At 45.9% G+C, this 12,371-nt stretch overlaps 1 annotated feature.

Moving 5' to 3' along the window:
* Positions 5,047-5,547: an enhancer, noted in NCBI's record as "H3K4me1 hESC enhancer chr12:113938319-113938819 (GRCh37/hg19 assembly coordinates)". NCBI's record gives its function as "activates a minimal SCP1, AML or CMV promoter by ChIP-STARR-seq in primed H9 embryonic stem cells {active_cell/tissue: H9 hESC(primed)}" and the evidence as "EXISTENCE:reporter gene assay evidence [ECO:0000049][PMID:30033119]".

Genomic DNA, 12,371 nt, shown 5'->3' with positions numbered 1-12,371 from the left:
GGAGCCTTCTGCCATGACCCAGGCAGGAGATGAAGGGGTCTTGGACCGGGGGGCTGCAGCAGAGAGAGTGGGAGGTGGTTGGATTCAGGATCAATGTTCAAGGTCGAGCTGACAGGGTTGTCTAACGATGCCACCCCCACCAACTAAGACCTTACTTTCTATCACCTTCCGCGGCAGCCTCCACCCACCCTGACGACAGCGAAAACAGCTGTCAAGACTTCTTTTTTTCAGAGAATGGAAAAAAGAGCCAACAATCTATTAACTCATCAATACAGAACCACGCCAATCTGTCCATCACCCAGGCCCCATCGATAATTCCATCTCGGGGCTGACAAGGCAGGAGAGAAGAGGGAAAATGAAATATTTATAATTTCTTAAGGGACAAAGCCCTTCCCCAAGGTGATGTTTTCAGGTTCAAGCACATTAAGGCTTCCATCACAGAACAATCTCCCTGCCTCCCTGCCTCCTGCTGCCTTCTTGGAAGAGCAGAGACATCCAACAGAGGGGACATCCTAAAAAAATCTAGGATCAAAGTTCTTTGATTTTGGACCAAGGTTTTGACATCAGACCCATAGTTTTTTTTTTGTTTTGTTTTGTTTTTTGAGACGGAGTCTCGCTCTGTCGCCCAGGCTGGAGTGCAGTGGCGTGATCTTGGCTCACTGCAATCTCCGCCTCCCAGGTTCAAGCGATTCTACTGCCTCAGCCTCCTGAGTAGCTGGGATTACAGGCACGTGCCCCCATATCTGGCTAATTTTTGTATTTTTAGTCGAGACGGGGTTTTACCATGTTGGTCAGGCTGGTCTCGAACTCCTTAACTCATGATCCGCCCACCTCGGCCTCCCAAAGTCCTGGGATTATAGGTGTGAGCCACCACGCCTGGCCAGACTCATAGATTTTTATCACTGGATGGCTGTGTGACCAAGGGCAAGTTGCTTAACCTCTCTGAGCCTCAGTTTCTCATCTGTAAAATGGAGACAGCAATAGCACCTATCTTATGAAGTTCTTGTGAAGATGAAGTGAGATGATTTATGGGAAGCACTTAGCAGAGTACAACCCTAGCATGTGCAGAAAGTTACTATAACGAATATTTTCTGAGTGCCCATTTGATCTGAGTCTTGAGGGGTAAATAAGTTTCCGTCACAGGAACAGTGTTTTGGGCAGGAGGAACAACCTTGGCACAGGCCCTGAGAGTGTGAAGGAGCAGTTTTTAGAAACTGCAGAATCACGTCGGGGGACCAGAGCAATGCGGGTAAATTAAATTCCTTTCTAACTGTGGGAGATTCTAAAATTAAGCACTCCAGGATGAAGGAAGGAAGGTGGGGTTTCCCCAGTTTCAGATAAGGAGAGTTGGAATCTGGGCCTGGTTGTTTTGCCAACATTTTTTGTATACAACATTATTTGTATATTGACCGTTTCTCTTCTTAGAACAGAAGCTCTAGGAAACCCATGAGGGCAGACTTGTTCATGGCTGTATTATTATTATTATTATTATTATTATTATTATTATTATTATTTTGAGACTCTTCTGTTGCCCAGGCTGGAGCATGTGGTGCTCACTGCAACCTCCACCTCTCGGGTTCAAGCAATTCTTCTGCCTCAGCGTCCCGAATAGCTGGGATTACAGGCATGTGTAAGGTGCCCTGAAGATGCGTAGGGAGTTTGTGAGTGGATGGGTTGGTTCCTTTCTAACCCTAGGTGCTGGAATTAAGATAATTCTCTCCTCAACTCATAGCGCATGCTATTGTCATTTATTCAGGCAAGGCTCCTCTTTTGCTTTTTATTTTAGTATTATTTTTCCCTTTATTTCTGTATTAGTCAGCTTTTACTGCATTGATGCTGCAGAACAAACAACCTCAAAACCCCAGAGGCTTACAACAATAAACATGTTTGTCAGGTTTTTTTTCACACATGTGAGCCTGTGGGTTGGCTGTGGTTTGGCTGATCCAGACTGGGCCCAGCTGGGTCAGCTCAGCTGCGCTCCAGGATTCCTAGAGGGCCCAGGTCTGCTCCACAGGGCCCAGACTAAAGGGGAAGTGGCTGCCTGGGGCATGAGCTTATCATGGGGGATCATAAAAGTTAAGAGAGCAAGGCAAACCCCACAAGCACATTGAAAACCTCTGGTTGTGTCACATCCTTTAACATTCCTTTGGCCAAAAGTCAGTTGCCTAAGTCCAAGGTCAAGGAAGGGGCAGGGAACTACCACACACACACACCGAAGACTTGGCAAAGGTGGAGAAGTATAATTCTATAACAAGGAGGGAGAGAAGGGCTGGGAATGATGATCAATGATCCAATCTACCACAATTGCCCATTCACAATTTCATTTTCCTTCCCACTACAGGCACTTATGTGTGTCAAATAGATAGAATATAGATGATACATAGATGATAGATAGGTGATGGAAAGATGGATCATAGATGATAGATAGATTTATTTTATTTCACTTTATTTTATTTTATTTTACAGATTCTCACTTTGTGATCCCAGCTGGAGTGTACTGATGCGATCACAGCTCACTGCAGCCTCAAACTCCTGGGCTCAAGTGCTCCTCCCACCTCAGCCTCCCAAGTAACTGGGGCTACAGCCATGTGCCACCACACTGGGCTAATTTTTTTATTTTTCATACAGATGGGGTCTCACTACAGATTGATGATGGATTATAGGTGATTGATTGATAGATTATATGTTATAGATGATTGATAGAGAGAATGGATTACAGAAGATGGATATAGAGATAGATATCATTAAAATTTTTACAGTATTATCTTATATCTCATTATTTACAACAAAATAATTGTTTTAAATAAACTTTATTGAGACTAATTTATATTCAAATGATGCATCTGTTCTAAGGGTACAGCTTGATATGTTTTGATAAATGTATACACTCATGTAACCTCCACAACCAAGATATAGAACTTTTCCAACACCCCAGGAAAAAGTTTCCTTGAATCTCTTTGGAGTCAATTCCCCCACCCCCACCCCCCAATCCAGGGAGCCTTTGATGTGTTTCCTGTCCCCATAGATCAGTTTTGACTATTCTCCACATTCCTATAAATGGAATCCTATCATAGGGACTCTTTTGGGCCTGGCTTCTTTCACTTGGCATGAAGCTCTTGAGATTCACCAGTATCACTACCCAGATCAACACCATGTTCCTTTTAATTGCTGCGTAGTACTCCACTGTATGCAATTTGTCCATCCAGTCAACTGTTGATAAACAGTATTATTGTTTTTAATTTACCCAAATGATATTGATTTTACAAGTCTTATTCTGTTCCATACTTTTTCACATACCATATTTTTGTGGTCATCCATGGTGTTATGTGTAGCTCTAGTTTGGTCTTTCTGCTGCTGCACGATCTTGAACACCTCTCTTTACCTTGTTTTCTTTATCCATTTGCCTAATGATGGACCATCAGTTTGCCTGTTTGCCAGTATGAACACTGCTGCAATGAACATGCATGTTTCATGCATGTTTTCTTATATATCTGAGAGTTTCTCTGCGGTTCCTACCCAAGAATTGAATTTCTGGAGCATGCTGTCTGCAAATATTTAACATCATAAAATACTGGCTAACCACTCCTCAAACTGGCTGCTCCAGGCAATACCCCACAGCACACATCAGGACATTTATTTCTCCATGTCCTCACCAGCTCTTGGTGTTATATGTCCCAATGTTCTGATTTTTACCAGTTGGATAGGAATACCATAGTAAGTCATTGAGGTTTTTTTCATAAACATTCCTCCAATTACTGGTGATTCTTTTCTTGTATTCTCTTGCCTAGGCTTATTGTCAAAATTGCGAGTTGGACAGCTTTCCTTTTGTTTTATTTTTCTGGAAAAATCTAATACAAGAGTTATCTGCTTCTTAACATTTATACAACTCACCTGTAAGACTGTCTGGGCGTGGTTCTTTTTTTATGGCAAGGTAAGGCATTAACGCCCTTGAGTCCCATACATTGATCTTTCTGGGGAAGCTTGGCTATCTTTGGTGCTGCCTGTCAGATACACAATAGCCTGAGAAGACAGTGCTGCAACCAGGTGGGTAAGGAAGGGACAAAGGGTTGGGCAAAGCATGGATGGGGGCAGTCACTGAGCCTGGGAATGTGGAGAGGCAGCAGGAATGTGCGATATAAAAAGTAGGCTTAGTTCAGAAGAAACAAGGGAGAGGGAAAAGGGATAGGACTCTGAAACTGTGAGCTCTCTGCTGCATGCCTCTGTGTGTGTGTTGAATCTAACCAAGTGACTCTCACTAGACCTTGTCATGCATTGTTTCTGTGTCCATGCATACTACACCCAATGTCTTTTTGCATCAGTGTCATATATGGTGCATGTATGTTTCTGTGTGTCCACATATGCACACACCTACCTGTCATTTTCTCCAGAGCCTATTTGTGCAAGCTCTGTGCAACGTGTATGTGTGTTTGTCTGTGCATTTTACAGTTGATTATTAATCATTTACAGAATCTGCATATGACTATGTTTAGCGCATTTGCATCTATTGTGTTATTGGGAAAGACTTCACACACAGGTTCTGAGTGTGTGTGTGTGTGTGTGTGTGTGTGTGAGATGGGGGTAGTACAAACAGTATGCATTATTGCAGAGGCTGAGTATCCCATTGTGCAGGTTTATTTGTTAAACAAAACCCATGCACCAATTGTGTTTGCATCCACATGCAAGTATGTGTGTGCGTGTGTGTGTGTGTAGTAGAGTGTTACCATCTCTGTGTCTATTGCCACAGACTCCACACACTGTGCTTTTGCATGTTGGTGTCTGTCTATTGCACCCACACAGCCTCCCCTGCCCCCTCCCGAGCCTGTTTGTAGAGACACCGGCATAATGTGGCTATGCGTGTGAATGTGTGTGTGTGTTTGCCTTTTATTTTGCTCACTGTTCTGTGACAACAGAATGCTTTCCCTGCTTACCTCGTCTTCCACATTGCAATCCTTTGGGGATATCAAGGGCAAGCCAGAGAAGGGTTACCTGGAGAAAAGGGTTGCTAAGCAACCAAACACCCACCACCCCCAAGCACCACCAACCCAAAACTCCGTTCCAGGCCTGCAACCAGATTAGCATATTAATGAGGCTGTAATTTCCCCCGAATTGTCTGCTGGTACACACTCAACTCACAGCACACTGGCCCAGGAGTTTGCTATGCAAATAAACTGGTTTTACAGACTGCGACTTAATTAACTCATCAAGTTCATCCTCCTAACAGAAAAGGCAGACGAACTACAGATTAATGAACCTGTGTTTGCTCGCCCCTCTCTCTCTCTCCCCTGCCATAGCAAGCTGCCTTTTTCTTTTTACGGCCCGTTTCTTTTCCTTCTCCTCCTGAACCTAGTAGCTCCCAAAAACCCATCTGGGGTTCTCCTCCATCTTCCTCTGGGGTTTCTCCATCCGAGCCTGATCTCTCCATTCCCCAAATGCCTCTCCCTTCTCATGCCTGCCTGGAGCCTCCCCCAGGCCTCACACCCAGCTCCAGGGGTCTCCATCTCATGGGTCCTCCTCCCTGTCCAGGCAGGCTGTTGGAGAAGCAGAGAACTGAAAATGGGACGCTGTTCCTTTAACGAGCCGAGAGCACAGGCTTTATTTTTTGACACACGATTCATAGTTTAGCCCCAGCCCTGATATTCAATCAGCTGAATACAGATTCTGGAAGAAGAGGCATTCTCCCTGCCTGCGTGTTAATTAGAAACGCCAGTCCTGGCTGCCTCCCACACTAATCAACTTTCTCCACGTCTTGATGGAGGACACACACCCAGGAGGGGTCCCTGGAACTCTCTGTGGAGAAATCAGCAATGCCCTGGATGCAGGAAGCCCCTTAGGATGGAGTGGCTTTGAACACTGGACCATTTCTCCCCAAACCCCATTTCTTTTCTCCCTGGCTTTGCCACTCACTGAGCTCTGGTGATGACATCACCTCCTCCAGGAAGCCTTCTCTGGTTTGGTGAAATTCAGAGCATAAATCTAAACCTAGAAGACAGCTCTACATTGGAATGTCAAGACATTTGCCCCCCAGCCCTGGCCTCCATGCAAGGAGGACATTCCACAACTTCGCCAATGTCACAAATAAGCCGCTTAGTGACATTCTGCCCCTTCCCCAGACTTCCCTGTCCAAATTCAGGCCTTACTATTTCTTACGTGGGTTATTGTACAATGTCTTATATCAGTTCTCTCTGCCTGTTATCTTATTTCCTTACAATCAGCCTTCACTGTGCCACTGGAGAAATAAACCAGTTCCTCCCCTGCTCAAACACCTCTGATGGCTCCCTATGGCCATTAGAACAAAGTCCAAGTGTAGCACAGTGTTCAAGCCCATCTGTGATCTGGCACTACCTACTCCCCTCCAGCTTCGCCTTGCAACCCAAATGTCTGTGGTTTTGAAATACAAGTGAGTATAAGAATCATCTGAAGGCCAGGTGCAGTGGCTCACGCCTGTAATCCCAGCACTTTGGGAGGCCGAGGCAGGCAGATTGCTTGAGGCCAGCCAACATGGTAAAAAAAAAAAACCCCATCTCTACTAAAAATACAAAAATTAGCTGGGCATGGTGGCACATGCCTGTAATCCCAGCTACTTAGGAGGCTGAAGCAGGAGAATTGCTTGAACCCAGGAGGCAGAGGTTGCAGTGAGCCGAGATGGCGCCACTGCACTCCAGCATGGACGACAGAGTGAGACTCTGTCTCAAAAAAAAAAGAGAGAGAATTATCTGAAGCCCTTTAAAAGATTCAGATTCATGGGCCCTACCTTGAGATAAACTGCTGCTGTAGAAACTGCTTCTGTAGGCCTACAGCAAACCCAGGAATCTACATCTTTAACCCGTATCCCAGGTGACACTGATGGAGGTTGTCCTCGGACCACACTGTGAGAGACAAGGCCCTTTGCTCACCCTCCTGAGCTCCTGCCTGCACTTGATTAAATCCCGCTGGCCAAAGCACTTGGTCCGGTCTGGCCCTCCTTCTCAAAGGGCCTTCTTGACATGCTCCACCTGGCACTCCTCCCCAGCATCACCTGTTAGAGATGCTGCCTGGCCAGTGGTATGGCGGGGCCCTTCCCCTGGCCTCCCTAGCCCTCTGGTCTCTCATCCCTCCTGTCTGTGAGTAGCAGGCACCCAGGCAGCCCTCGGGACGGTTGTGTATGACTTTATGACCTGACATAGGGGTAGGTTGGAGTATTTTTTAACTCTCCTTGAAAACCAAGAGAGGCTTGGAAATTAAGAAAAAAAATTAATTCTCCCAAATGATTGCTTTTACTGTCAATCAATAAAGATCTTCAGTGTAAATAGAAAAGAACGTGAGTCCTAGAGATTGACCAACTCCCCATCTCACCATCAACTTGCTGTGTGTCCTTGGGCAAGTGACTTGCCCTCTCTGTGCCTCAGCTTCCCCCATGCAAAGTGGGAACAATGATAGCACTCACTTCATAGAAGCAGAAATGAGATTTTCAAACAGCCACAGGAAGTTCTTGAGACACCCAGTTAGTGGTTAATTACTGCCTGTCGTTCCCTTAACGTGTTCGTCTGAATCCAAGGGGCACAGTGAGTTCTTTATCTCCAGGTGCTCTGTTTTTGGTTTTACTCTCCGAGTGCAGTGCCTGGTGCATGGTAGATGCTCAGCCAGTGAAGGTTTCATAGTTGGAACTTAAATGGAAAGTGGACAGCTCTGGAGGTGCAGGAAAGCTGCTTCTTTCATGAATCCAGGTGGCTCTTATGTTCAGGCACGTCAAAGACAGACACACAGGCACACACAAATACATACACAGAGACAAACACATACACAGAGACAGACAGGCACACACAAAGACAGACAGACATGTAACAGAGACAGACAGACATACACATACAAAGACAGACATGTACAAAGACAGACACATGAATATAAACATACACACAAACAAACACAGATAAACAGACTCAGAAAGCCAGGCAGACAATCAGACACACACACGTACCTACATAAAGATAGACACATACACACAGAGACACCCTTACAACAACCCATTCTTCCACATCTACGTAAAGAACACATAGACACACATGCACAGACACACAAAGGAGACAAACACAGACAGACACACATAGATCCATGCAAACACACACAGATTGACACAGACAGATACACAACCTCACATGCACACAGATTCATATACACACCCACACACCCTGGCACACACCCACACACCCTGACACACACACACACGCATGCACATGCACTGCCAGTCCGTTTTGTTCTTGTATACCAGAATCACAAGCGGCAGCGGCGGCAGCTGCCTCCCCATCTCTATAACAAGCCCGCATTTATTTGAAGAGTGTCAGGAGGTCATTCCTCAGCTAAATAGTGTCATTCCTATCCATTCCCTCTCCTCCTAGGACCTATTCCACAATCCATTCATCATGCCCATATCTCCAGCCGCAGGGCCTCCCAGACGCCCGGCCTCCCCCTTCTCTGGCACAGAGGGGCAGCAGCAGCCTCGCTAGGGGGCTGACCTCCAGTCCCTGCCCCTGGGCCTGACATTCCTGTTTCCCCAGGACTTTCATCCTGCAATCATTGACCCCACCTTGTAGGCAAGAGGGCAGAGGCACAGAGAAGAAAAATGCATTCGTTCGTTTATTCACTTATTCGTTCAAGATTAGGTAGGAACACTTGAAATTGCCATTTTTAAAGATCAAAACCAGTCAAATATCAACAAATTAAAATGGTTCATCCTAATATTTAATGAGTGGGTCCCTCGTGCCAGGCATTGGGCCAGGCCTTGAGATGCAAGGATTCACCTGACACTGACATTCTAGGGGGCAAGAAAAACAAATACATGAATGACACCTTCAGATGGAAGGGAGTGCCAGGAAGAAAAGAGCTTCAGTGTGTCTGTAGTTCCAACTAGCGGGAGGCTGAAATGGAAGGATTGTTTGAGCCCAGGAGGTGGAGGAAGACGCAGTGAGCTATGATTGTGCCACTGCAGTCCAGCCAGGGCAACAGAGTGAGACTCCGTCTCAAAAAAGAAAGAAAGAAAGAAAAAGAAGAAAGAAAGAGAGAAAGAAAGAGAAAGAAAGAAAGAACGAAAGAAAGAAAGAAAAAGAAAGAAAGAAAAGAAAGAAAGAGGAAGGAAGGGGAGCTATACTGTTTTGAACAAGGATGTCAGGGAGGACTCCTCTGGGAAGGTGACATTTGAACAGAGGCCTGAGTTAAAGTGGGAGGCTCAGCCCCTTGGGTACTTGAGGCCAGCTGGTTTACAGGCAGAGAAAACAGCCAGTGCAAAGGCCCAGAGGTAGGCATATGCATGGCTGTGAGGGCAGCAGGGAGGCCGGGTGGCTGGAGCAGAGGAAAAAGAGGAGAGGGTGGGGGAATGAAGGCAGTCAGGCAGGAGAAGCCCAGGCATGGGGGCAGCTTGGATTTTATTCAAGCGTGATGGGATCCACTACAAGAAAGTGATAGGTTCTGACTTAACGTTGCCCACATCACTGCTTTCTCAGTGTATGCCTGAGAGAATTAAAAACCTAAGGCTGGGCACAGTGGCTCACGCCTATAATCCCAACACTTTGGGAGACTGAGGCAGGCAGATCGCCTGAGGTCAGGAGTTCGAGACAAGCCTGGCCAACATGGTGAAACCCTGTCTCTACTAAAAATACAAAAATTAGCTGGATGTGGTGGCACGTGCCTGTAGTCCCAGCAATCTGCAGTCCCAGGTACTCAAGAGGCTGAGACAGGAGAATCACTTGAACCTGGGAGACTGAGGTTGCACTGAGCAGAGATCGCACCACTGCACTCCAGCCTGGGTGACAGAACGAGCCTCTGTCTCTCTCTCTCTCTCGATAGATAGATAGATAGATAGATAGATAGATAGATAGATAGATAGATATAGATGGATGGATGGATGGATGGATGGATGGATGGATGGATGGATAGACAGACAGACAGACAGACAGATAGATTAGATAGATAGATAGATAGATAGATAGATAGATAGATAGATAGATAGATAGAAATAGATGGATGGATGGATGGATGGACGGACGGACGGACAGACAGGCAGACAGACAGACAGACAGACAGACAGATAGATTAGATAGATAGATAGATGATAGATGATAGATAGATGATAGATACATACATATTCTATAAATATAGTCTAGAGAGAGAGAGAATTAAAAACCCCGAGACTCACACAGATCACTGCATATAGATATTCATGGCAGCATTACTTATAATGGCCAAAAGGTGGAAACAGCCTAAATGTCTGTCATCAAATGAATAGATAAACAAACATGGTCTATCTATACCCTGGAATATGATTCAGCCATAAAAAGGAACAAAGTCCTGACACACATTACAACATGAAAGAACCTCGAAAGCATTATACTATGTGAAATAAGCCGGTCACTAGAGGACAACTATTATGTGATTCCACGTGTATGAAATACCTTGAATAGGCAAATGCAGAGAGACAGAATGTAAACCAGAAGTTGCCAGGGGACAAGGGAAATGAGAAGTTATTGCTTCAGGGAAACAGAGTTTCTGTTTGGGGTAATAAAGTTTGGGAACTAGATGGTGATGGTTGCACAACATTGTGAATGTACTTAATGCCACCAAACTGCGCCCCTTAAAAATGGTTAAAATATTTTATTCTTCTTGAATTTAAAAAAGGAAAAGAATAGTTAAAATGGCAAATTTTATGTTATATGTATTATACCACACTCACAATAAAAAATAATAATTGGCCGGGCACACTGGCTCACTCCTGTAACCCCAATATTTGGGAGGCTAAGGTGGGAGGATCATTTGAGCCCAGGACGTTGAGGCTGCAGTGAGCCATGATCACACCACTGCACTCTACCCTGGGGACAGAGCGAGACCCTGTCTCAAAAATAGTAATAGTAATAATCACTGCTGGACAGAGATTAACCCAGAAGGGGCAAGGAGAGCAGCAGGGAGGCCAGTAGGAAGCCACTGCCTTTTTCTGGGCTTATGACCATAACAGTCAGAGCATAATGTACCCAAGGTGTCTCAGGGACACCATGAGAACAAGGGCTCCAGCCCAGGACATTGGCCTCTACACCTCCCCTGTGCCAGTCTGGCTTTGGGGACTTTAGGAGTAGAATAATAGCTTGGAGTGACAGCTCTGGGTCTGGGAACCTGTGTTCAAATTGCAGATTTGCCCCACTCCTAGCTCTGTGACCTTGGGATTGCGACCTCAGCTCTCTGGGCCTCAGTTTCCTCTTCTGCTGAGTCGAGATGATAATGGCACCTACCACAGGGGTTGTTGGGAGGCTGAACTGGGATAAAGTAAGTCAAGGGCTGCCTCCATGTCTGGTAGCAGAAAGCCCTCCAGGAGCCATAATTCACCAAGGTAACTGTGTGAGGCCTTTTTTGTTTTGCTTTTTTGTGGGTTTTGTTTTTGTTTTTGTTTTTTTTAGACAGAGTCCCTCTCTGATGCCCGGGCTGGAGTGCAGTGGCGCAGTCTCAGCTCACTCCAACCTCTGCCTCCCACGTTAAAGGGGTTCTCATGCCTTAGCCTCCTGAGTAGCTGGGATTACAGGCGTGTACCACCATACCTGGCTAATTTTTCTATTTTAGTAGATACGGGTTTCACCGCGTTGGCCAGGCTAGTCTTGAACTCCTGATCTCAAATGATCCTTCTGCCTCAGCCTCCCAAAGTGCTGGGATTACAGGCATGAGCCACCGCACCTGGTTCCCTCACCTCTCTTCTTCTCTTCCCATGTCACCCTGCCTGCTGTCTCCTCCCTCCAGGACCAGCTTCGTAGGTCCACAACCTGCATAGTTGCACAGGGCCTAGTTCGGAAGGCCCCCATACCTGGTTTTAATGCTCCACTGCCACCATCTTGAAACTCTTAATCACAGTCAAGCAAGGGGCCCCATATTTGCATTTGGTACCAGCCAGTCCTGCCACTTCCTTGTCCAGGTTCTCACTCACAAACAGAACCACATTGCCCCTTACTGCTTTGTAGGAAAGTATTTCTCAAACCTCCAGCCAGAAGGAGTGGGATACACAAGCCTTCTTCATCTCCAATTTCATGTCCTTCCCCTATTTTAAAAGCCTTCCCTAGAAAAATTAGCAAAGGCAGGGAATGGGAGATGAGAAGACAACAATGAAAATATTCCAGATTGCCTCAAGCTTTCTCCTCTCCTCATTCCAGAAAGGCAGGCTGCCTTGGGGACAAGGAGTAGTGAGCAAGAGAGAGACAGCTGGCATTAGAGAATGCCCCAAAGGTCCTCTTGTCTAGAGAGTCTCAAAGCTGGCTGCATATCAGAATCTCCAGGAAAACTGATTTGAAAAGTGGATTCTCTGGCCCCACTATCTCCTGGGGGTTCTGATGACTCTACTGCAAACAGAATCCAGGCACCCCATGATT

Source organism: Homo sapiens, chromosome 12, assembly GCF_000001405.40.
Source record: "Homo sapiens chromosome 12, GRCh38.p14 Primary Assembly".
NCBI classification, from domain to species: domain Eukaryota; kingdom Metazoa; phylum Chordata; class Mammalia; order Primates; family Hominidae; genus Homo; species Homo sapiens.
This window is presented reverse-complemented; position numbering and strand designations above follow the sequence as displayed.